Below are 24,036 nucleotides of genomic sequence, written 5' to 3' on the forward strand. Positions count from 1 at the left end.
AGGGCTATATCTTTTTAAGCATTCCCAGCTTCTAGTACAAGGAATGGTCTTAATAAACATCTGTTGACTAGATGGAGATACAAAGTCTTGGCTGACCCCCAACACCAGTCTCCTTACTTCAACTGTTCCCTATTTGCTCTGACGTACACTACCTAGTGTCTCTCCCACAATCCAGCCCTGTTGGCATGGGGTGAGAATTTTCACTGGTATCTTCTTGACAGGCAGAATCTTTTATTTTTAGAGAAGCAGAATTCTAGCTATGTCTGAACTGGTCTGGCTAAAAATATACTTTAAGGCTGCTGGTGTTGGAGTTTCTTTCTTTTATTTATTTATTTTTTCTTAATGCAGCAATCACATTTTCCCCATTGGCACTGCTGTTTTCATAGTTCAGTAAAGAAACCTACCATCCAACTGTAAAATCTGACTGGTTTTGGGCCAGTTCATTTAGAAGCTACAAAGAGGTAGTGCATGCATTTCAAATTAGAAGAAGTTAAGCCTGTTAAAAGTTTTATAATCTTTTATATCAAGCTTCCATCTGAATGGATAAATGCAGGAATGTCAGAGGCATCTCTGACTTCATGAAAGGTAAGTTCATAATTCAAACTATATATTATTATGCATGAATTAATGTGTCATATTCTGAAATATATGTTCAGAATCATTACACAGGACTTTCAGAGTAGTCCAAGTAGCAAGTTAAAATCAAGTGTTTCCTGGCCGGGCGCGGTGGCTTATGCCAGTAATCCCAGCACTTTGGGAGGCTGAGGCAGGAGAATGGCGTGAACGCGGGAGGCGGAGCTAGCAGTGAGCCGAGATCAGGCCACTGCACTCCAGCCTGGGCGACTTCAGCCTGGGTGACAGAGCGAGACTCTTGTCTCAAAAAAATAAATAAATAAATAAAAATCAAGTGTTTCCTTCCTCTACTTATTGCACTTTTTTTTTTTTTTTTTTTTTTTTTTGAGACGGAGTCTCGCTCTGTCGCCCAGGCTGGAGTGCAGTGGCGCGATCTCGGCTCACTGCAAGCTCCGCCTCCCGGGTTCACGCCATTCTCCTGCCTCAGCCTCCCGAGTAGCTGGGACTACAGGCGCCCGCTACCACGCCCGGCTAATTTTTTGTATTTTTAGTAGAGACGGGGTTTCACCGTGTTAGCCAGGATGGTCTCGATCTCCTGACCTCGTGATCCGCCCGCCTCGGCCTCCCAAAGTGCTGGGATTACAGGCGTGAGCCACCTCGGCTCACTGCAAGCTCCGCCTCCCGGTTCACGCCATTCTCCTGCCTCAGCCTCTCGAGTAGCTGGGACTACAGGCGCTCGCCATCATGCCTGGCTAATTTTTTTTGTATTTTTAGTAGAGACGGGGTTTCACCGTGTTAGCCAGAATGGTCTCGATCTCCTGACCTCATGATCCGCTGGCCTCGGCCTCCCAAAGTGCTGGGATTACAGGCGTGAGCCACCGCGCCCGGCCCCATACTTATTGCACTTTTGATAATTACTGAGATACTGAGATATTAAGATGGCCTGATGCTCCAACCCAAAATGTGTTGGTTATACTTTGATAACAACCCAAGAAGTGGGGCCCTGCTGATATATGAGATTGTGAGGGTTACAGGACCAAAGTGAAGCAGACAGAGAGAGAATCAGGGATCAAAACCTCAAAAATAAGTTACACGTTCAGAACCTCATCAAATTGTTTAAGTCTGATATTTTCTATCCACAGATTGTGATAGCTGAAGGGCAACTTAGTGATCATCATTCAATACCCACTATTTAGTAGACAAAGAAACTGAGTTTGCAGACAGCACTCATCATGCATTAAGTTAGCAGTGGAGCTATAACTCAGGTTCAGGCCTCTTTCCATGACACAGCACTGCCTCTGTGACCAATAATTTTTAAGGCAGTGAACGGTAGCTTTTATTTCTTTCAGTTCCCAGATCTACGTTAGTGTGAATGGCTTGACTACATGCATTGTAACTACATGGAAACATACAAGGTAAGCCAAATCCTAAAATGTGGAAACGTTTTCTTTTAACATCACTGATGTACAATTACCTTGCTGTCTTTCATCCCAGCTAAATGTTGGATGGCTCCAGATATTCCAACAGCAATATAAAGTTCCTGAAATAAAAGAGGTCACATTATTAATATGTATTTATATTATATAATACTTTCCAAAGTGTTTGCTGTTAGCAATTTAAGTCTTAGGCAAAAGATATGTTAAATAAAATAGAGGCAAAATGTATTGCTTAAATTATGCTTTTCTTTTTCTCTGATCTCCTTAACCTACAGTTCTCTTTTTCCTATGAATTCCTATAGCAATGGTAGTAAAATAAATATGTGGATAATGAGGATTACTGAACATTTACTATGTGCCAGACACAGTGTTAAGCATTTTACATCAAGTGTCTCAATCTCACAATTACCTGTGAGGTAGCATTTTTCATCTGTGGCACTCACTTGAAAATCACTGCACAACCCATACATGCTGTACATACCCATTAAAAATTAACAACATACACACATTGTATATTAACATATAAACACATATACTCAAATATATTAAAATAATTTTTGACTTAGTTGTTTGGCTTAGTTGTTCGCCTTATCACAAAAGGATATTTGTTAAAATGGTAATTAGGATATGTTTATTAAACTTTGTATTTAGAAAAACCAGAAATACAAATTACTATCAAGAGATTTTAAACACACACACGTACACATACACACACACACACACACATTCTCTCTGAATAAAAAATAACAAACTTCTCAAAGGTATGGGCTGAACCTTTGTGTTTCCAGAGCCTAACAAAAAGGCCTCCATACCACAGTTTTTTGGTAAATGTTGATGATATTTGTACCTCTTCCTGCCCCTCTGCCCTCAATAATTACAAAGGGAATGATGACTGACACTGTTCTGTCTCCTTATCTAAAATTTTTACAGTGCCTTTGTTTGAAAATAAAAACACACTTCCATTATGAAAAACTTTAAGCACTTTAATAAGTGCTTAATTAGAAGAGCTTACCTGCTTCATTCTGTTTACCAGGTATGATTAAAGCTTCACTTGAAAACCTTTTCCCACAGAAAAACTGAACAAACAAGTCCTGGCCTGGGTAGGAGGTATAACTACCATGTAACCAGACTGACACTAAGGTTTTGTCACAACTGACAGTAAAGTCTCTCCTCAATATGAATAATATGTGGAAGGCACTGAAGGTGGTTCTGTTATACTTACTTTTATTACAGGGCAGATACTTCAAAAGCCAATGACAGTGTCAAGGTGGTCCCACCTTGTTTTCTGCACTGCTTATGATCTCATTTAACAATTGCTCAATCCAAAATAAGAGAGCATTTCAACTAGGATCTGAAAATAATGTTATTACCTCCTAATGTCATGATTTTTCATAGCACCTAATTGTATATGGCCACATACAAGTCAATTCACCTCTCAGGGGCTCACTTTTTCCAATTGTAAACAGAAGAGGTACACCTCCAGCACTGGTGCTTGTAAAGAAAGCTCCCCAGGATACTCTGATGTATAGCCAGAGCTGGAGAACCACTACAATAAGTGATCCCTCAGCTCTTTGGCAGCCTGAATCTGACAACTGTCTAGCCCCCTGCAGTACTCCCTGATCTTTACAAGCATAAAGTGTCCAACTGCTCCTAGAGCAGCACCATGTAACCTGGAAAAGGAAACAATCTAGTCCCCAAAGTGAGTTAATCATCTAAAAATGAGATGAGCTTGTTTTTTGAATCAACTTGTTCTATAGTTACCAAAAGCCTGAAGACAAGAACAATTTGGCGTAATAAGACTGTGTCTTAGGGTGGGGAGGAATGCTGCAGAAAGTATGGATGAGGATAAAAAGCAATTGCATGCTCTGTGATTCTACCTTCAATGTATCCAGTGTGTCAATTGTGACCCTACATAGTCGGACAATGCAAGGAGGCCCTGACATCATACTGTCTCTCAGACATGGACACTTGCATAAGTAGTAAACTTCTTCCACTACTTTCTATTTAAGATTTAGAAGTAATTCAATAGGCTTTTTTTTTTTTTTTTTTTTTTGAGATGGAGTCTCACTCTGTCACCCAGGCTGGAGTGCAATGGCACAGTCTTGGCTCACTGCAACCTCCACCTCCCAGGTTCAAGCGATTCTCCCGCCTCGGCCTCCCGAGCAGCTGGGACTACAGGTGTATGCCACCCCACCCAGCTAATTTTTGTATTTTTAGTAGAGATGGGGTTTCACTATGTTGGCCAGGCTGGTCTCGAACTCCTGACCTTGTGATCCACCCACCTCGGCCTCCCAAAGTGCTGGGATTACTGGCATGAGCCACGGCGCCCAGCCTTCAATAGGTAATTTTAAGGTCACCTCAGTTTATTCTGACTAGCATTTCATTCATAAAGGGACATTTGTTAAACTGTTAATCAAAATATACTAACATTCATATTCAGAAAAACCCGGCAAACAAATTCTAACATAAAGATTTTTAAAGCAAGCTATTTAGCTAGACACCACTCTTTTAGGTATATTCTCAAAGCAAGCATTGGAAAAGACCAGTAGTCCTGTAAACGAGTCTTTCTGTCATACATGTCTACAGCAAATTCAAGTCTTAAAAGCTCCATGTGCATTATAAAATGCTAATAAAAATGTTGATTCACTCTGGCAGTAAACATAAACATAATATAAATGAAATTACTTAAAACCCCCTGTGTCCCCAAAAATGAATTCCATTGACTTTAACCATAAGTGTCACTAAGGAAATAAGAGATTCTGGGCCAAAACAAACTGAAGGCAGTTGCTCCAGGGCCATTTCTACCTTTCTGATCACAATAAATGGTCCAAATGGATCCACATGACCAACAGGACTTTATTTTACTGTCTTGCAAACATGGTCCTCTGAATAAACATAAAAGCACTGAAACAATAACCCAGAACAAGTATAGGGATTTTGGCGGCTGCTCTGAGGCTCTGATAGCTCTCTCAGGAAGAGAGGCTTTTTCCCTCCTTTTTAAAAAACATGTACAGGCAATTAGACTAATATCTTAGTCTAATTCCTCATGGTTCAGAAAGCATTTTTGTATTTCAATAATAATAATAATTAGTATACACAAAACTCTCTACAGATGCTAATTTATGGGGCACTTCAGATGCTGCTTCACAACATAACAAGACAATCCCTTCCCTGAGGCACTTTCCTTCTAAATCAGATAGTAAGACCATTTGGAGAGAAAGTGAGAGATGTTGCCAGGGAGTACAGCAATTAAGGGTTATACAAGGCGTGGTGGGGGACGGTGGGGATTAAAGGAACCAACAGAAACAGAAAGAAGGAGGGAGAGTCCTAGAGATAGGCCTCGTGGCTTTAGAATCTAGAAGAGTGAGAATTTAGAAGAGAATGGATCAACCCCAGGTGGCTGATAGCAGTCTGAGTTGATCACTCTGTGATGCCAAGAATAGGGGCTGTGCGGAGAAGTAAAGCCACAGGATGGGAAGAGGACCAGAGCTTATTCTGAAATATAGAGAAGGGATAGCACTTAACCTTAACACAAACAAGTACTGGCAGAAAAAAGCACAAATACCTCTTCCTTTGCCAAAACCTATAGACTCATTCAAAGAACTCAGGGGCTGAGGTCTAAACTAGTTACAGTGGGCTGAGATAGAAAGGGCAGCAGGACTGAGAAACTGTTGCATCTGATGCGGTTTAACAGGTTTACCGTATCACTGTGGTTAAGAACCTAGGCTCTGTAGCCTCATTGCCTCCATTCAAATCCCACCTCTGCCATCTGATAGCTGCATGACCATGGGCCATTCATGTAACCTCTCTATGCCTCAGACTGCTCATCCAAAACACTGGAATTATAAGAACTCCTGCTTTATAGGGTTACTGTTGAGGCTCGTCCTTAGCATAGTATCAGATTTCCCAAGACACATTGATGTGTCACTCACGGGTTGAGGTTTATTCAAATATTGATTTTCTCAGCCCACTAGGTGGCCAGGTGGGCTCCTGAGGTAGCCTCAGGACTACCATGTACAGCTGAGCAGGCTGCACACTGAATAACTCTGAAGGAGGGCACCACTCTTAACAGTCACTATAGCCCTGCATTTTTATTACAATAACTTTCCAACAGATGGCAGTAAAGTAACTTGAGACACCAGTACTTTATAATTTGTACAAAAGAGTTGTGTGGACTTGAAGTACTGGGTGGCCAGAATCCCCTGTGGTACAAATATTCTAACTGTCTAAGTGTACCATAATAGGAAAGAGTTGAGCAGCACTGGGTAACTGATTTTACTGTTGTTGATATTCTTACTGTACCTTACAGGTAATATAAAGATGACTAATTCTCTGTGCCCTGTCCTCAAGAAGCTCACAGTCTAACAATTACAGGTTACGGCAAGGTCACAAAAATCTGTAATCCAATAAAGGAAAATGGAAAAGAGGTGTGATAGAGCTACAGTCTCTCATCAGCCCCTCACTTTCCTACCTGCCACTGAGAAGTGGAAAAGCCGTTAGGAGCAGAAAACAGATTAGGGGACAATATCTTTACCTTCTGACAAACAGGGGCCCACTTTTGCCATCTATCCCCATCTGTTCCTGCTCCCTTAAGTCCTTTAGACAAAACAAGCTTTTAAAGCAGGTTTTAATGGTCCTGGCTTAATGATAAAACTGCATGTCTGAGAATTAGAGGGATGATTGGAATGAAATCTTCAGACTTTTACAGAAATCTAACCAACCTGTGGATTCAACATGGCTAGTGTTCTCTGGTGGATGATTAGGTTTTTGGCTGCTTTCTTCAGAAAGTAAGTATATACTAACATCACTCCTGCTTTACCCAAAACACGTGCCCAAACCTGGAATTCTAAGATGTATTATCTGAGCTCTGCTTTTCCAGAATTTCATGTAGAAGCTAAGGGGAAAACTGTCCTCTGCTACATTGCATTTTCGCTCATCACTGTTAAGCCCCAAACAGAGTTATTCGATACATCTATACTTATATATCTTGTAAGCCACATATTTAATGTTAAATTTTCTAGTGGCCACATTAAAGTAAAAATAAACAGGTAAAATTAATTTTTAATAATGTAATCTCAGGTCAGACTAACTATATTTCAAGTACCCAATAATCACATGTGGCTTAGAGGTTATCATACTGGGCAGCACAAATCCAAAATAATCATAGAACAAACTAAAGAGCCTTCTTGTAAACTCCACTAGGGAACCGTGGACTATGGTCTGACAACAGATCTAAAGACAGAATGGCATTGTCTTATGTGTCTGTGTTGCTTCTGTTGGCTCAGAACAAGACCATTTACAGGTTCTATTATGCTCAATGGGAACGTGAACCAAAAAGGAAAGTCAGCAGTGTGGCAGAGCTGAAGATTAGCATTAGAGGCAGCAACATTAAACAAGAGTAGCCAATATAGAGAGTCACAAATAGATGACAAAAATCTATCAAATTTCAGGTGGTGTGGCCCATTATAGGAAAACCAAAAGCAGATGAAAACTACTGGTTTAACATGATCAGTTTATACTCTGAAAAAGCAACTCTCTATCAAATTTTGTTCTCCAGTAACTTATATTTAGTTCTTAAAACTCTAGATGGACCTGAAAAATATTTCCTCAAAAACTCACAGTTCTAAAAAAGATTTTAAAAGTATCTGAAATATGTGAGTCAAAAAAATTAAAATGGAAATTTAAAAATACATGGAACAAAACACCAAAAAAGGAAGGGTATATCAGAACATGTGGGATGCAGCTAGAGTGGTATTTAGAAAGACTGATTGATTTTGAGACAGAGTCTCACTCTGCTGCCCAGGCTGGAGTGCAGTGGCACGATCTTGGCTCGCTGCAACCTCTGCCTCCTGGGTTCAAGCGATTTTCGTGCCTCAGCCTCCTGAGTAGCTGGGATTACAGGAACGTGCCACCTCGCCCGGCTAATTTTTGTACTCTTAGTAGAGATGGGGTTTTGCCATGTTGGCCAGGCTGGTCTCGAATTCCTGACCTCAGGTGATCCACCCACCTCGGCCTCCCAAAGTGCTGGGATTACAGGCATGAGCCACCATGCCTGGCCGATACTTAGAAGGATTTATAACCTCAAACACATATTAGAAAACAAGGATGATGGAAAATTAGTAAGCTCAGATCTCAACTCAAGAAAGTTGAAAATGAGGAGGTAAAAGAAACTACTACATTATTCAATCATTACAGTTAAATAAATAAGAGCTGGGTTCAGATCCTGACTCTCCCACTTACCAATCTGCATTCTTGAGCAAATTATTCAATCTCTCAAAGGCTCAACTGCTGTTATGTGTAAAATGGAGACAAATACCTGCAGCTAATAGGATTGTTGTGATGATGAAAATAAGATGCACATAAAGTACTCAAAATATTTCTATAATGCTATTATTTCTAAAATGATCATCAAATCTCTAAACTAGAAGGCATTTTTAATGTTATAGTTCTAAACAGAAAAGGAGACAGCCAACTGTCAAAAATTTCACTTTAAAATGGTAACTATTACTATCTATATATCTATAGTCAAGAAAGTTGTTACTAACTTGATACAATTCTTCCAGGGGAGTGTACTGGGAAAAATTTTCTTTGACAGCTGTTAGTTTCTTCTTTGCATTTAGTACTGACCATACAGTTAGAATTTCTGCCCAGCTTCCTAGCCAGTGCTTGCCTAGGAAGTTGGGATGATTTCTTTACAGATTTCTAACACAATCTTTGTGCAAGGATACATATCCCAGATGCAAGTACTAAGACATATCAAGTTGATCATATTAAAAATATAATACATATGAAGTTGAAATTATGTGAGTTTATGATATAAAATCATAAATTCATGTTTTTCTGGAATTGGAACAGTATTCTGCCTGCAGCAACTTCAGATCTGCTTTACTTTAAACACAGTAGAATGGAGAGATTTAAATGTTTACTTTTTGTTTATATGAAATACGAATATGAGTAGGGTGGTTAAATCTGGAGCATTCAGAGCAGAAATACCATGCCAATATTGTTTCCTCTCTTAAAAAATCAAGTTTTAAACTTTTCTGCCAAAAGTGTTCCTTTCTAGATAGAGGTAGGGAAGGAACATGAAAACTTACATTTCTTTAAATAAATAAAAATTTAAACACATCATGTAAGTGGTTCTATCTAGAATTCAGAGATCCAATGTTATGTGCTCAAAAAAACAATACCCCTAAGACTGCCTCAATCAGGACAAGAGTTATACAGAATGGCAAATGCTTTCTCAACCTTCTTTTCTCAATAGACTACACAGCCATAACCTTAAACAGCAACTGTTATAGATAAAACATAATATACATATACATAACAAATGCCAGGTTAGGAGTTAAATGAATTTATCATAGCAAATAATGAATGTGTCTTTGGGAAGTAGATTAACCAAACTATATTTTCTAATTATTGGAGCCTCCTGTGCATTAATATTGCTATATTTCATCCTGCTGCTCATTTAAAAGGCCAAACTATTTCCTTTGTTTGCCAAATCCTGTTTAAGTCTCTTCTCTTTTTGGAAGAGGCCCCAAAACTCAAAGCACAACTATCTGTGGCTCTTTTCTCAAACAGCTCTCTGCCCGTATTATGAAATTCTCAGGTGGGATTCTGGCTAAACTGAGTTTCACATGAAGGGAAGATTTTACCCATACTCTTGGTTTGAAGCTGAAATTATATCCCATCCATGAGACAACACCCCTTTACTAAGATTAGCTCCTGTTTTATTAGAATTCAAGACAACACACTAGTCATCACAGCTATATGTACTGTCTATGTTACGCCAGTAACTATGCTGTACTTTATACACACGACCTCATTTAACTATGACAACAACTCTATAGGGTAGAAATGATTCCTATTTTATAGAAGAGAAAGCAGAGTCTCAGGCAGGCTTGCTGAGTTGTCCAAAATTATACACACCTAGTAAAAGGCAGGTTCTCCCTCCCCAGCTTTACTGAGGTATATTTGACACATAAAAATTATATATATTTAAAGTATACAATGTGATGTTTTGATATAGGTAAACATTATGAAATAATTACCACAATCAGGCTAATTAACATATCTATCACATCACAATTACTTTTTGTGGTGAGAACACTTAAAATTTACTCTCTTAGCAAATCTTAAGTATACAATCCACTCTTATTAACTATAGTCACCATTCTGTACAATAGATCCCCAGAATTTATTCATCCAGCATAACAAATTTTGTATCCTTTGACCAACATCTCCCCATTTCCCCCACCTCCCAGCCCCTGGAAGCCACCATTCTACTCTCAAAAGGCAGGCTTCTTAACCTAGGTTGATTCTAAATTCAGCACTTTTTCTATACCACATATGACTCAATATTATTACTGTATTGGTAATATGCTTTAGCTGAAGTCACCAGTCTGTTAAAAGTCCACAAAGTATATTTATCTTAGAGAAAGATCCCTAAAACAAGATGAGACCTGGTGAAGAGCCAACTGAAGTTTGTACATATTAAAAAAAAAAAAAAAAAGTATTGTCAATTTTAGCTAACATTAGCTTTTACTCCATGTTGCTAAAAGTATCAGTTTGTACATTAGCTCTGTGTCTCCTTATCATGAATAATGACAAGCTACACTGTTTAGATTTATTGCTCTATCAACCACTTGCATGTCAATTAGAAAGCCTCTAATGCACACCCACCACACACATGCACCAGCTGGAAGCCCTTCAAGGAGACTGACTCACAAAAGAGGCAAGGCTCCGAAATTATTTTTGTTGTTGTTGTTGATGATGTTTCTTTCTTTTAATTTATGTAACCTGCACTGAAAATTAATACTTTCCAGCTAAAGATTTTGATCTGGCTTTCAGTGAAGTCAATATCTGGTTCCAAATAACTGCTAAAGGGAAATGTCTAGAGGCAAAGCCAGAAAATGCATTTGGAAGAAAAGCAGGGGCCCTTATCTAGCCTCTGAAGATTTTTCACATGAATGGAGATTCCATGGCTCAGTAGATGGACTTGGTTCTTTTTAGTGATAGAATATGTAGTCAAAGATTCTTTGAAATCTTAAATTCAAATTCATTCTTAGATATAAGCTCCTCCATATTCTTTTAATCAGCCTACCTTTTCTCCCAGGACATATAGGGAACTAAGCAAATGTCTTCTTCACATCTAGTCTAATATGTCCAGAGCAGGTGGGATGTATATCACTAGCACACACTTCATTATGTACGTCACATTTTTTGTTCAAAATGTAAATTTAATAACCCAGTTGCTCAACTACAAAGTTAAAAGAATTTTTTTAAAACAAGGACATTAACTATATTGTGAAACACAATTCAAAAATTTAAATGTAAATCAGAAAAAAAGTGAAATTTCAACCCTTGGCCTTTCAATGTTTTCTAATTGTAGATTTCAATTATGCAAGATGTATAGGACCTGAAACAAGTTTTTTTTTTCTTAAGAGAATAGTTTCACATTCAAATATAACTTCAGCTGTGCTCAGTGGCTCACGTCTATAATCCCAACTACTTGGGAAGCTGAGGCAGGAGGATTTCTTGAGTCCAGAAATTTGAGGCTGCAGTGAACTATGGTCTCATGTTGCCATACTCCAGCCTGAGCAACAGAATAAGACCCCACCTCTAAAAATATTAATAATAATAAATTAAATATAATTTTTATATTTAACAATTTTATAATTAAATGCTTTGCATTTACCTAATTTGCTTCTATACCAGTTCAGAGATTTTCCATTGTGGGAAAATACACTTTAAGTGTACCTGAAATTATGAAAAGCCAAGTATATTATTATATACTTACCTAAAACTATTCAGACAGTTAATTTACATTGAAATATTTGTGTCTATGATATCAAAATACTTGAACATGTAATCAAGTCTATTACAAAGCTTTGCATTTTAGCAGGTCAAATAAAAACTTTATTTGAAGGCTGGGTGCAGTGGCTCATGCCTGTAATCCTAGCACTTTGGGAGGTCGAGGTGGGAGGATCGCTTGAGGCCAGGAGTTTGAGACCAGCCTAGGCAACACAGCAAGACCCCATCTCTACAAAAAATAAAAAACAAATTAGCTGGGTGTGGTGGGACACATCTGTGATCCCAGCTACTTGGGAGGCTGAAGCAGGAGGATCACTTGAGCCCAGGAGGTTGAAGCTGCAGTGAGATGTGATGGCACCACTCCACTCCAGCTTAGCTAATAGAGTGAGACCCTGTCTCAAAAAAAGTTTATTTGGCTGGGCGCAGTGGCTCACACTTGTAATCCAAGCACTTTGGGAGGCTGAGGCAGGCGGATCACGAGGTCAGGAGATCCAGACCATCCTGGCCAACACGGTGAAACTCTGTCTCTACTAAAAAATACAAAAATTAGCCAGGCATGGGGGGCGGGCCCCTGTAAGTCCCAGCTACTCGGGAGGCTGAGGCAGGAGAATGGCATGAACCCGGGAGGCAGAGCTGGCAGTGAGCCAAGATCACACCACTGCACTCCAGCCTGGGCGACAGAGTGAGACTCCATCTCAAAAAAAAAAAAAAAAAAAAAAAAGTTTATTTGACTATCAAATTTTTTTTTTTTGAGATGGAGTCTCGCTCTGTCGCCAGGCTGGAGTGCAATGGCACGATCTCGGCTCACTGCAACCTCCGCCTCCTGGGTTCAAGTGAGTCTCATGCTTCAGCCTGCTGAGTAGCTGGGACTACAGGTGTGCGCCACCACGCCCGGCTAATTTTTGTATTTTTAGTAGAGACAAGGTTTCACCATGTTGGTGAGGATGGTCTCGATCTCTTGACCTCGGGATCCCCCCGCCTTGGCCTCCCAAAGTGCTGGGATTACAGGCGTGAGCCACTTCGCCTGGCCAACTATCAAAATTTTTTATCAGCAAAGTTCTTTAATTGATCCAAGTCAAAACATGCTAAATTATACATTTCTACGTAGAATTTTGGAGTTGTAAGGAACCTTTGAAATTATCTATGCGATCTCTTTATTTCATCAATGATAAAAATCAAGGCCCTGGGAAACAGAGCTGCCACCCAAACCTAGGTCTCCTGACTTCCAAGTAGTATTCTTTCCATTCACCAAACTGCCTCCTTTCCCAAATCACTAAGAGCTGGCCATTGCTTACACATAGCTTTTCTTGACATTTAATCATAACTTCTATGTCAAGAAGTTTATGAGAGCTACAAAGCAACCAGAGGAAACCAATTTGAAGGTTCCTCAAAAAGTTACACATAGAACTACCATATGTCTCAGCAATTCCAATCCTAAGTATATATTCAAAAGAACTGACAAGAGGGACTCAAACAGATACTTGCATGTGAATGTTCATAGCAGCATTATTCACTATAGCTAAAAGGTGAAATAAAACAACCTAAGTACCCATTGACAGATGAATGGATAAGCAAAATGTTTACAGATGACTGGACCATAAAAAGGAATTAAGTTCTGATACATGATACAATATGATGAAATGTGAAAATGTGCTAAATGAAAAAAGCCATCATAAAAGGACAAATATTGTTTGATTCAACTTTATGAAATATCTAGAATAGGCAAATTCATAGAGACAGAAATAGATTAGCAATTACAAGGGGCCAAGGTAGAACGTAATAAGTTATTGCTTAATGGGTACAGGATTTCTATTTGGGGTGATGAAAACTTTCAGAAATAGAGTAGTGATGGCTGCACGTTGTGAATGTGGTTGAAGTCATTAAATTGTACACTTAAAAATCGTTAAAACAACTGGGTGTGGTGCTTCACACTTATAATCCCAGCACTTTGGGAGGACAAGGTGGGTGGATCACTTCAGGCCAGGAGTTCAAGACCAGACTGTCAACATGGTGAAACACTGTTTCTATGAAAATTCAAAAATTAGTTAGGCTTGGTGGCACATGCCTGTAGTCTCAGCTACTTGGGAGGCTGAGGCAGGAGAATTGCTTGAACCCGAGATGGCACCACTGCACTCCGGCCTGGGCAGTAGAGTGAGACTCCATCTCAAAAAAAAAAGAAAAGAAAAAGAAAAAAAATCGTTAAAACGGCAAATTTTATATTTTACCACAATAAAAAAAATCACTAGAAACCTTGACAGAAACCATCACAGAATTTCCCATGTTTAAAAAACTTCATTCTAGAATCTTGTGGTAATTATTAAAAATTATTTACATTAAAAATAATAAGGAAAACCAGGTATAGGATTTATAGAAATTCACTGTACTGTCTTCAAAATTTTACTTTAAATTCAGGCCAGGCGCAGTAGCTCACGCCAGTAATCCTAGCACTTTGGGAGGCCGAGGCGGGTGGATCACAACGAGGTCAGGAGTTTGAGACCAGCCTGGCCAACGTGGCGAAACCCCGCCTCTGCTAAAAATACAACAATTAGCCGGGCGTGGTGGTACACACCTGCAATCCCAGCTACTAGGTAGGCTAAGGCAGGGGAATCACTTGAACCTGGGAGGCAGAGGTTGCAGTGAGCCCAGATCATGCTGCTGCACTCTGGCCTGAGCGACAGAGCAAGACTCTGTCTCAAAAAAACAAAAACAAACAAACAAAAAAAAAACAAAGTTTTTTTCTTAAAATCCAAAACCGTTCTCAAAATTATTATTATTATTGTTATTATTATTAGTTTTTTTGAGACAGAGTTTCACTCTTGTTGCCCAGGCTGGAGTGCGATGGTGCGATCTCAGCTCACCGCAACCTCTGCCTCCCAGGTTCAAGCAATTCTCGTGCCTCAGCCTCCCAAGTAGCTGGGATTACAGCATGTGCCACCACTCCCAGCTAATTTTGTATTTTTAGGAGAAATGGAGTTTCTCCATGTTGGTCAGGCTGGTCTCGAACTGCCAACCTCGGGTGATTTGCCCGCCTCAGCCTCCCAAAGTTCTGGGATTACAGGCGTGAGCCACCACATCCAGCCCTCAAAATGTTTATTTAAGAGAAAGCTATCTGAGTTGTGAAGTTCAGACCAAAGACTTATGAAAAACTCATTTAAGCACCTTCTAAAATTGTAAGAATTGGAGTAGAGCTTGTAATATGGAAAATAGTAATGCCAGTTAAAAATAAATTTACTATACAACCTAAGATCCTCTAAAATAATCTCACTTTAAGGAAGTGGAGTATACCCTCCTGTCTCAAATACTATTTCCCAAATTTCCTTTCAGACTAAGTTTGGTTAATATTAATATATAGTTAAACGATGTTATTAAACTCTTCTTCTCTACACCTCAGTGCTTGTATCTTTGGCCTTGAGGTGAACACAGTACTGAATTACATATGCTAAATGACCAATTATCCATTGAATCAACATTTTCTAGTAAAGTGTCTCATGTTCTTTGACATTCATGTGCCCATTTATCATACCTGAAACTATATGAGAAAATACATTGGTTTTTATAGGAAAAAAAAAAAACAAAATTACATAGAATAAGAATAGAAATTTAGAATAGTTTTATTTCTTTCAAGTTACCACACCAACACAGCTACGACAAAGACTGCTGTCTACTCTTATTGATTTTCATGTCAGCTGTTAAATTAGATTCACTATCTACAAGACATGTCAATTTATCATTATTGGTGGCATGCTTTTAAACAGTTACCATATATATGTAAAAAGGAATTCAACACTCTCTGAAACTTACAATTTTTAACTTTATATAATAAAATGATAATGGATAAAGAACTTCACTGATATTGGACCTCTGGAATAAATGTTTAGAGCAATCAGTCTAGTAAAAATTAGCTGAGAAGACAAACCAAAGATATAATTAAAACTCCTAGTTTTTTGGCAATTAAGTTTTTAACTATTGTACAACCAAATAATTTATATATACAAACCACAGTTTATAAATTCTACAACTTCTTCTTTGTCGTTTTAAACTTCACTGTATGGGCTTTGATAATCCAGGCCATGTAATTACCTTTAAGAAGCATGCTTAGGGTTTTTTCTGGAGTACAGGTCCATACAGCATTTCTCTCTGTCCTCTTGGGAACAAAACATCAATTGCTTTCAGCTAAATGCACTCACATATGAATATTTTAGTACAATTTAATGCTTCTATACCAACCCCAAAGGAACAGAGCATCAATTTGTGAACACAGTTCTCTTGGAGTTAAAAGCCAAGCTAGATAAAGCACTATGAAAGCAGCTGTCAATCTTCAGCTTTTTAGCAAGTTAGAAAGGCAGCCCATAAATTCAGTCCTAGCTGTATACAAGTAAGTCTATAAAGTTTGTTCCTACACAGACTTTTCAACAATAGTGAATTTTCAAAAGAGAACCCAGAAACAAAATTTATTATCTTGATACATTTTTCAAAAACTGCTTATTCACCTGGTAACTTTAAACTGACTTCTATTCACTTAGTCTCACCATTATGAATGGACAGTTGGTCTGTTAGTAAAATACCAAAATATACACAAAATAATCTACTCCCACTAAGAAGTTGCACTAAGCGTAAGAACACATTTCCCTGGCATTAGAAAACAGATTCTTTAATAATTGCAATATGCTTATATGTTCAGGTGGTTAGGAAGGTAAGGTCAGCACCATCAAAAAAGCTAATAGAAGGCAATCTAGAAATAAGTATTAAATGGAAACTACCACCAAATACGCCAACCTTTAAAAGGCCATAGAAATTAAATGCTAGTTGTAGCGTAAATCTGAGACTCTATTAAGTTCAACAAATATTAATGTGCTAACAAAATCCAGTAAGTGTGTCAAACCTCAGGTAAAGAAATAAGAATTCAATACCTGTTCATAATTTCAAAACAAAATAAAACAAAATCTCTTAGAAAACAAGGATTTATGACAGTACTGTAAAAATGGCTAATACACAGCACTTACTATATACCAGGCACAGTTTTTAAGTGTTATATAAATATTAACTCATTTAAGCCTGTTTTACATATTAATCTTTAAAATCATTTAATCTTTAATACTACAGTATGAAGTATGAATTATTATTATCACCATTGTATAGTTGAGAAAACTGTGCTACAGAGGGGTTAAGTGATTTGTCCAAAGTCACACAGCCAGCAAGTGGCAACACCAAGGGCTGAATCCTGGCAACCTGGCTAGAAAGTCTGGATTCTTAACTATTCTATGACACTGCCTATTGTAGGGAACTTTTTAAAATCTGATAAAGGGTATCCACTAAAAACAGACAGCCAACATAATACCTATGGTGAAACAATGGAGTAATTTCCTTGAAATGAAGGACAAGGATGTTTATCCTCACCACTTCCGTTCAACAATGCCACAGCTAACACAATAAGAAAAGAAAATTGGTTGGGCACGGTGGCTCACACCTGTAATCCCAGCACTTTGGGAGGCTGAGGCAGGCAGATCACGAGGTCAGGAGATTGAGACCATTCTGGCTAACATGGTGAAATCCTGTCTCTACTAAAAATACAAAAAAAATTAGCCGGGCGTGGTGGCAGGCACCTGTAGTCCCAGCTACTCGGGAGGCTGAGGCAGGAGAATGGCATGAACCCGGGAGGTGGAGCTTGCAGTGAGCCGAGATCATGCCACTGCACTCCAGCCTGGGCTACGGAGCCAAGACTCCGTCTCAAAAAAAAAAAAGAAAAGAAAATTAAATAAAAAGATGAAGCAAAATTTCATTATTCATTATTCCCAGAAGATATGTCTGTGTATGTACAACATCCAAGAAAATCTACAGATAAATTAGTAAGAGCAGTATATAAATATCAATTGCATTCCTATATATCTACATACTTTTATAACAAAAATTATGAAACTGCCTAAACAAGTGGAGAAATAAAATCATGGTCACAGATAGAAGATCAAATGTTGCAAAGATTTTGACTCTTTCCAAATTAATCTATACATCCAATGTTCCTCACTTGAAGAATTTTCGCTATCTGAGTATTTGTTACAATATGTACTTTTTAAACCCAGGAGTCACTATTCAAATTTAAAAAAACAACTATCAAGGATTTGTAGGAGTGCACATTTAAGGTGCTTATGAATCTAAGAGAGACCATCCAGTCTACTCAGCAGCTGTATCTCAGCTATTTTCCTGACAGGACCATATCTTATGCTCACATTCTATAACCACGAGCAAAAGGAACACAAGGAGACATACATTTTTTTAGATTTTTTTTCATCTAAGACTGCAGACAATGGTTCACAGCCATCTATTTCTGGACCTCAGGAGTGGAGAAAACTGTCCATCACTTCTTAGGATCCAATAGTAAGCTCCTTTGCTAGAATCTTTCCATACATTTTGACTCACCACTGAACCGCAACCATGATAACAGCCCCTTCTCCCACTTCTCACCACCAAATCTAACTCAGGCAACTCTTTAATCAGTACATTTTTTTTTACGTGGTCTTGGTTATTCACTAAGAGTTATTTGCATTCATCATGTATCTTTAACATATTTTCTCATTGCTTATTTACATTATGGTACGTGTTTGGAGCAGTGTAGAAGAAATAACTGATACTGTACAGTTTCCACACTATTCTGTCCAAAAACATACCAAATAATGAGTGTAATAAGTGTTAAGTAACTGGTGTTTTACATGCATAATGCAGATTTTTACATGAACTGGGATTCTTATAAAAGTGTTTTAAGATTTTGTAATTGAGGGAAAATTATTTGAGGTTTTGAATAGACTGTGAACCAGTTATTAATTCTCCCTATTAAGATAATAAAATATAGGTCTGAGTTCTCTGAAGCTTTAGTATCTATACAATTTTAGTAATAGTCTACATCTGGATAATGAGTTATACCTACATTTCCGATCAATATTTCAACTGTGAAGCTTAACAAATGAATTCTAAAACTGTAAAGTAACGCAGGGAACCAACAGCTAAAAACATTTTGGAGAACTGAGAAGGGAGATACTGCCCAACCAGATAACTTTATTATAAAGCTTAAGTGTAGTAGGGGTACAGTAATAAACAACTGGCCAATGGGACAGAATAGATGGCCCAGAAATAGACCCCTGCATACATATAAACTTGATATGTAAAAGATGATGCTGTGCATTAGTGGAGGAGAGAGGGAATGTGTAATAAATGGTGCTGAGGTACCTGATTAACTACATGGGGGGAAAATGGAATACTCACTTCACATTAAACATAAAAATCAAATCAAGTAGATTATAATTATAAACCAAAATGTGAAGGACAAAATTTTTAAAACTTTTAGAAAAAAATACAGGTGAATATCTTTACAACCCTAACTTAGGAATGATTTCTTAAATAAGACACAAAAAATACATATCAAAAAGGAAAAAAATAAGTTGAACCACATTAAAATTAATGCTCTATCAAAAGGTATTATTTTTTAAAATGGAAAAGACAGACATAAATGAAAGAAAATGTATGCAACACACATAACCAACAAAAGATGTGTATCCAGAATACATAAAGAACTTCCAAGAATCAGCCTGGCCAACATGGTGAAACCCCATCTCCACAAAAAATATACAAAAATTAGCCAGGTATGGTGGAGGGCACCTGTAGTCCCAGCTACTCAGGAGGCTGAGGTGGGAGAATTGTTTGAACCCAGGAGGTAGAGGCTGCAGTGAGCCGAGATTGCACCACTCCACTCCAGCCTGGGCAACACAGTGAGACCCTGTCTCAAAAAATAAAAAAAAAAAATTCCAAGAATCAGTAAGAAAAAGATAACTTAATAGAAAAATGAGCAAATGGTATTAACATTAAATATTCAAAGGGAAAAAAACCATAAATGGATATTCCGCATATGTAAAGATATCTCACTAGTAATCACAGAAAAGCAGATAAAAAGCACAGTGAGATTTCATTCCCATCAGGCCAGCAAAGCTTTTTTAAAATTGTGCTAAAATATATATAACATAAAATTTACCATAGTAATTTTTTTTTTTTTTTTGAGACGGAGTTTCTCTCTTGTTGCCCAGGCTGGAGTGCAATGGCGTGATCTTGGCTCACCACAACCTCCACCTCCCAGGTTCAAATGATTCTCCTGCCTTAGCCTCCCAAGTAACTAGGATTACAGGCATGTGCCGCCACGCCTGGCTAATTTTGTATTTTTAGTAGAGATGGGGTTTCTCCGTGTTGGTCAGGCTGCTCTTGAACTCCCAACCTCAGGTGATCCTTGCACCTCGGCCTCCCAAAGTGCTGGGATTACAGGCGTGAACCACCACGCCCAGTCCATGGTAATTTTTTTTTTTTTTTTTTTTTTTTTAGATGGAGTCTCGTTCTGTCGCCCAGGCTGGAGTGCAGTGGCGCGATCTCGGCTCACTGCAAGCTCCGCCTCCCGGGTTCATGCCATTCTCCTGCCTCAGCCTCCCGAGTAGCTGGGACTACAGGCGCCCGCCACCACGCCCAGCTAATTTTTGGTATTTTTAGTAGAGACGGGGTTTCACTGTGTTAGCCAAGATGGTCTCAATCTCCTGACCTTGTGATCCGCCCGCCTCGGCCTCCCAAAGTGCTGGGATTACAGGTGTGAGCCACCATGCCCGGCCCAGTAATCATTTTAAAATATATAGTTCTGGGACACTAAGTACAGTTACCTTGTTATGCAACCATCACCACCCATCTTCAGAACTACCGCCTATCTCAAGAACTGCAAAAGTTTTTTTAAAACTGTAAATAAGCAAAGTTCAGAGAGCTGTTAAAACTGTTGGTAAATATAAGCTGGAATAACCACTTTGGAAAACAATTTGTCAAAATCTGGTAAAGCTAGATTCTCTACAATTAGCAATTTCACCCCAAGGCATATTTCTCTAGTAAAACACTAACATACAAGTAAACATTATTAATAATCTTCATGGTAACATTATTTGTAAGCAAGAAATTATAACTACTTAAATAAACAACCATTAATAAGAAAATAGGTAAAGTGTGATAAATTCATATAATAGAATACCATACATAAATGAAATACAAATGAAAAAAATGCTACCTGCATTAACAAAGATGAACCTCACAAATGTAAGATGGATTGAAAAAAAGATAAAGAACATATATAGGACATTACTAATGATAATTTCAAAAATATACACAATAATATTATATATCAGTGCTCCCCAACTTTTTTATACCATGGCACACAGAAGATAACATTTGTATGGTACACGAACAAGGCTGGTCATAAAATCCACTGTTCCAAAGGCTGAGAGGATCAACATCTGGTATGCCTCTAAATCATTCATCATATTCATATTGAAAAATCTCAGCTATATACTGCTTAGGGATCTGTAGATATGTAGTAAAGTAAAAATGAAATGTCTTGAAACAATAGTAATCAAATTTAGGATAATGGCTACTTTTTTCCTTTTTTTTCTTGCTCTGTTGATCAGGCTGGAGTGCAGTGGCACAATCATAGCTCACTGCAGCCTTGATCTCCCTGGCTCAAGTGATCCTCCCACCTCAGCCTCCTGAGTAGCTGGGACTACAGCTACATGCCACCACACCCAACTAAATTTTTTTTTTTTTTAAAGTAGAAAGGAGGTCTCGCTATGTTGCCCAGCCTGGTCCCAAATTCCTGAGCTCACATGATCCTCCTGCTGCAGCCTCCCAAAGTGCTGGGATTACAGGTGTGAGCCACCCACCATGCCCAGCCAGTAATGGTTACTTTTGAGGGGAGGAAAAAATGTGTATTAAAGGAAGAGTACACAAGGGTTTTCAACAGTACTGTAATATTGTTTCTTAAATTCAGGGATGAAAACATTAGTGTTTATTATTTCTATGTAAATTGTATATATATTTATATTTTCATAAATTTATATATAAACTTTTAAATAAAAAGAAAAGAATGGGAAGGAAAAGGAATACAGCGAATATAAGCTACATTTTCAAGCTTAGCCTAGCAAGAGAGGTGAAAGGGGCAGTAGGTAATGAGGAAAAGAAGCTGCTGGGCAGATAAAGGGTTTTCTTTTTAAGACTATAGAAAAGGGGCCAATAGAGGAGAGACTCTGACTCGGAGGATGGGGTAACTAATGGAACACTGTCTCAAAGAAGGTACAAAATGATGGGGTCCAGAGGAAAAGCAGACATATTAGCAAAATTAAAAAGGGAGGCCCTCTTTTTTTATCCACATGTAGATAAGCTGGATTTTTGTTTGTATTGCTTTGCTTATGTAGAAAGTACAGTAAGTTTACTTGTGAAGTAGAAGGAATGGTCAGTTTCTGAGAGTAAGATAATGATACTAAATAAGGGGTTTTAAAAGGGGTGACAATTTAAAATAAAGTAGTTGAAATACTAATAGACGACAAAAATCAGAATTCAGTTCCCATAGACACATTTGTAGAGATCTGGGGCTATGCAATTCAACAATTTTCTCTGGACAGTAGTTCTGATAATGTGCTCAGGGCGCTAGTCATTCCGCACAGGTGTAGTACAGACTGTCTCAGGAAAATGAGAAAGGGCGAGAGCTGAGCTAGTAGCACTCTAGATATACCACCCCACTTCAACTCCACTTTTTCCCATATTATACATGGGGCTTCCTGATAAAATTTCCTTTGAAGAAGGGTTCTACAACTAGATCACTAGTCACTACCCTAGAATAAGCCTGAACAGCAGATACGAAATCACATAATTTCTGCCTCTCACGAAAATGCACTTAATATTAGGCAATTAGTGTACACTGAGGGACATTATTAAAAACGCAGTCCTATGAAACCACTGTCTTATTTACAGTAAAGGTATTGTTGAGGATGTCAATCAATAGAGCCTTCTTTATAAGGACTCAAGGGATATATCTCTCTCTCTGATCTTGATACCAGGCCAAATGATACTTCCCATGTGCCATTAGTTTGTTTTTACGTTGGGACACTGTACCTCAGGGCACTGATCTTGTTTCCCAATATGAATTGGCTTCTAAAAACCAAATTTGCAGCCCACATCTAGCAAATGGACAGGACCATATAGAATCTTTTTTATTAAGGTGACTTTATTTTTATATAATTAGAGACAGGGTCTCACTCTGTCACCCAGGCTGGAGTGTAGCGTCACAACTACGGCTCACTGCACCCTTGAACTCCTGGGTTTCCTTCTACTTCACAGGTAAACTTATTGTACATTCTACAACTCAGCCTCCAGTGCTGGGATTATAGGCATGAGCCACCTCACACAGCCAGAATTTTTATTTACACACTCTCACCTCGTTTCAGCCTATCTTTCTAGCCTTTATCTTTCACCTGAATTTTCTCAGGATGACTCAAACTGCTACCATCACTACAGATAAAGCAGACTTTGGCTGCCATAGGTAGAGATGCAGGGGGCAGGGGCAAGAACACTGAGAAAGCCTCACTCTGAGGCCCAAGTGCAGAGGATCTGCCTAAGACTGAGACTAAATAAGAACCAAGAACCATCCCTTACCACAACCATATAACTTAAGACTAAAGAGATGACAACTAAACGCAATACTTGGCCCTAAAGTGGATTCTGTATTAGGCTAACTGATAAAACTGGAGTATTCCATTAGAAAATAAAAAATTGGAATCAGAATATGAACTGACAAAATTGGGATATGGTATATAAATGTGTTTTGGTTATATAAGAGAATATTTCTATTCTTAGGAAATACATACTGAGGTCTTTAGGGGTAAAGGGCTATAAATGTTACTATCAACTAGTTCAGAAAAAATGTATGTGTATACACACACACACACAGAGTACTTTTTTTTTTTTTTTTTTTTAAAGAGATGGGGTCTTGCTGCATTATGCAAGCTGGAGTGCAGTGGCTGTTGATAGGTATGATCATAGTGTACTACAGTCTCTAACTGCTGGCCTCAAGCAATCCTCCCACCTCAGTCTCCTGAATAGCCGGGACTACAGACGTACACCACGGTGCTCAGCTGTACTGCTTTTAATTTTCAACTTTTCGTAAGTCTGAAATCATTTCAAAATAAAAAATAAAGAGGAGAAGAAGTCTTTGTTACAATAGTAAGCTATGAACTGACTAGTGTTTTCCTATCACTGGGTCTGAATTCTTGCAGAGAGCATGAATCCATAAGCATACTAGGAATTGTTCCATAATCTTTCATATTCATATGTAAATTATTGTGAATGACCCAAAAAAGCATTTAAAAAAATAACAAAA

At 38.3% G+C, this 24,036-nt stretch overlaps 1 protein-coding gene across 3 annotated transcripts in view, besides 1 other annotated feature; it reads right to left on the reverse strand.

The window, feature by feature from the left end:
- ETFA (electron transfer flavoprotein subunit alpha) overlaps positions 1 to 24,036 on the reverse strand; it is a 96,117-nt gene that overhangs the window by 13,933 nt on the left and 58,148 nt on the right. For all 3 annotated transcript variants that reach the window (XR_007064434.1, NM_001127716.2, NM_000126.4), the window contains one exon: positions 2,048 to 2,113. Coding sequence is in view for 2 of the 3 variants with exons in the window: in NM_001127716.2 (NP_001121188.1) it covers positions 2,048 to 2,113 (66 nt within the window). In the remaining variant the exon portion in view is untranslated. The remainder of the gene's footprint in view (positions 1 to 2,047; positions 2,114 to 24,036) is intronic.
- Positions 5,029 to 5,718: an enhancer, noted in NCBI's record as "NANOG hESC enhancer chr15:76526655-76527344 (GRCh37/hg19 assembly coordinates)". NCBI's record gives its function as "activates a minimal SCP1, AML or CMV promoter by ChIP-STARR-seq in naive H9 embryonic stem cells {active_cell/tissue: H9 hESC(naive)}" and the evidence as "EXISTENCE:reporter gene assay evidence [ECO:0000049][PMID:30033119]".

This window comes from Homo sapiens, chromosome 15 (assembly GCF_000001405.40).
Source record: "Homo sapiens chromosome 15, GRCh38.p14 Primary Assembly".
In the NCBI taxonomy this organism is placed as follows: domain Eukaryota; kingdom Metazoa; phylum Chordata; class Mammalia; order Primates; family Hominidae; genus Homo; species Homo sapiens.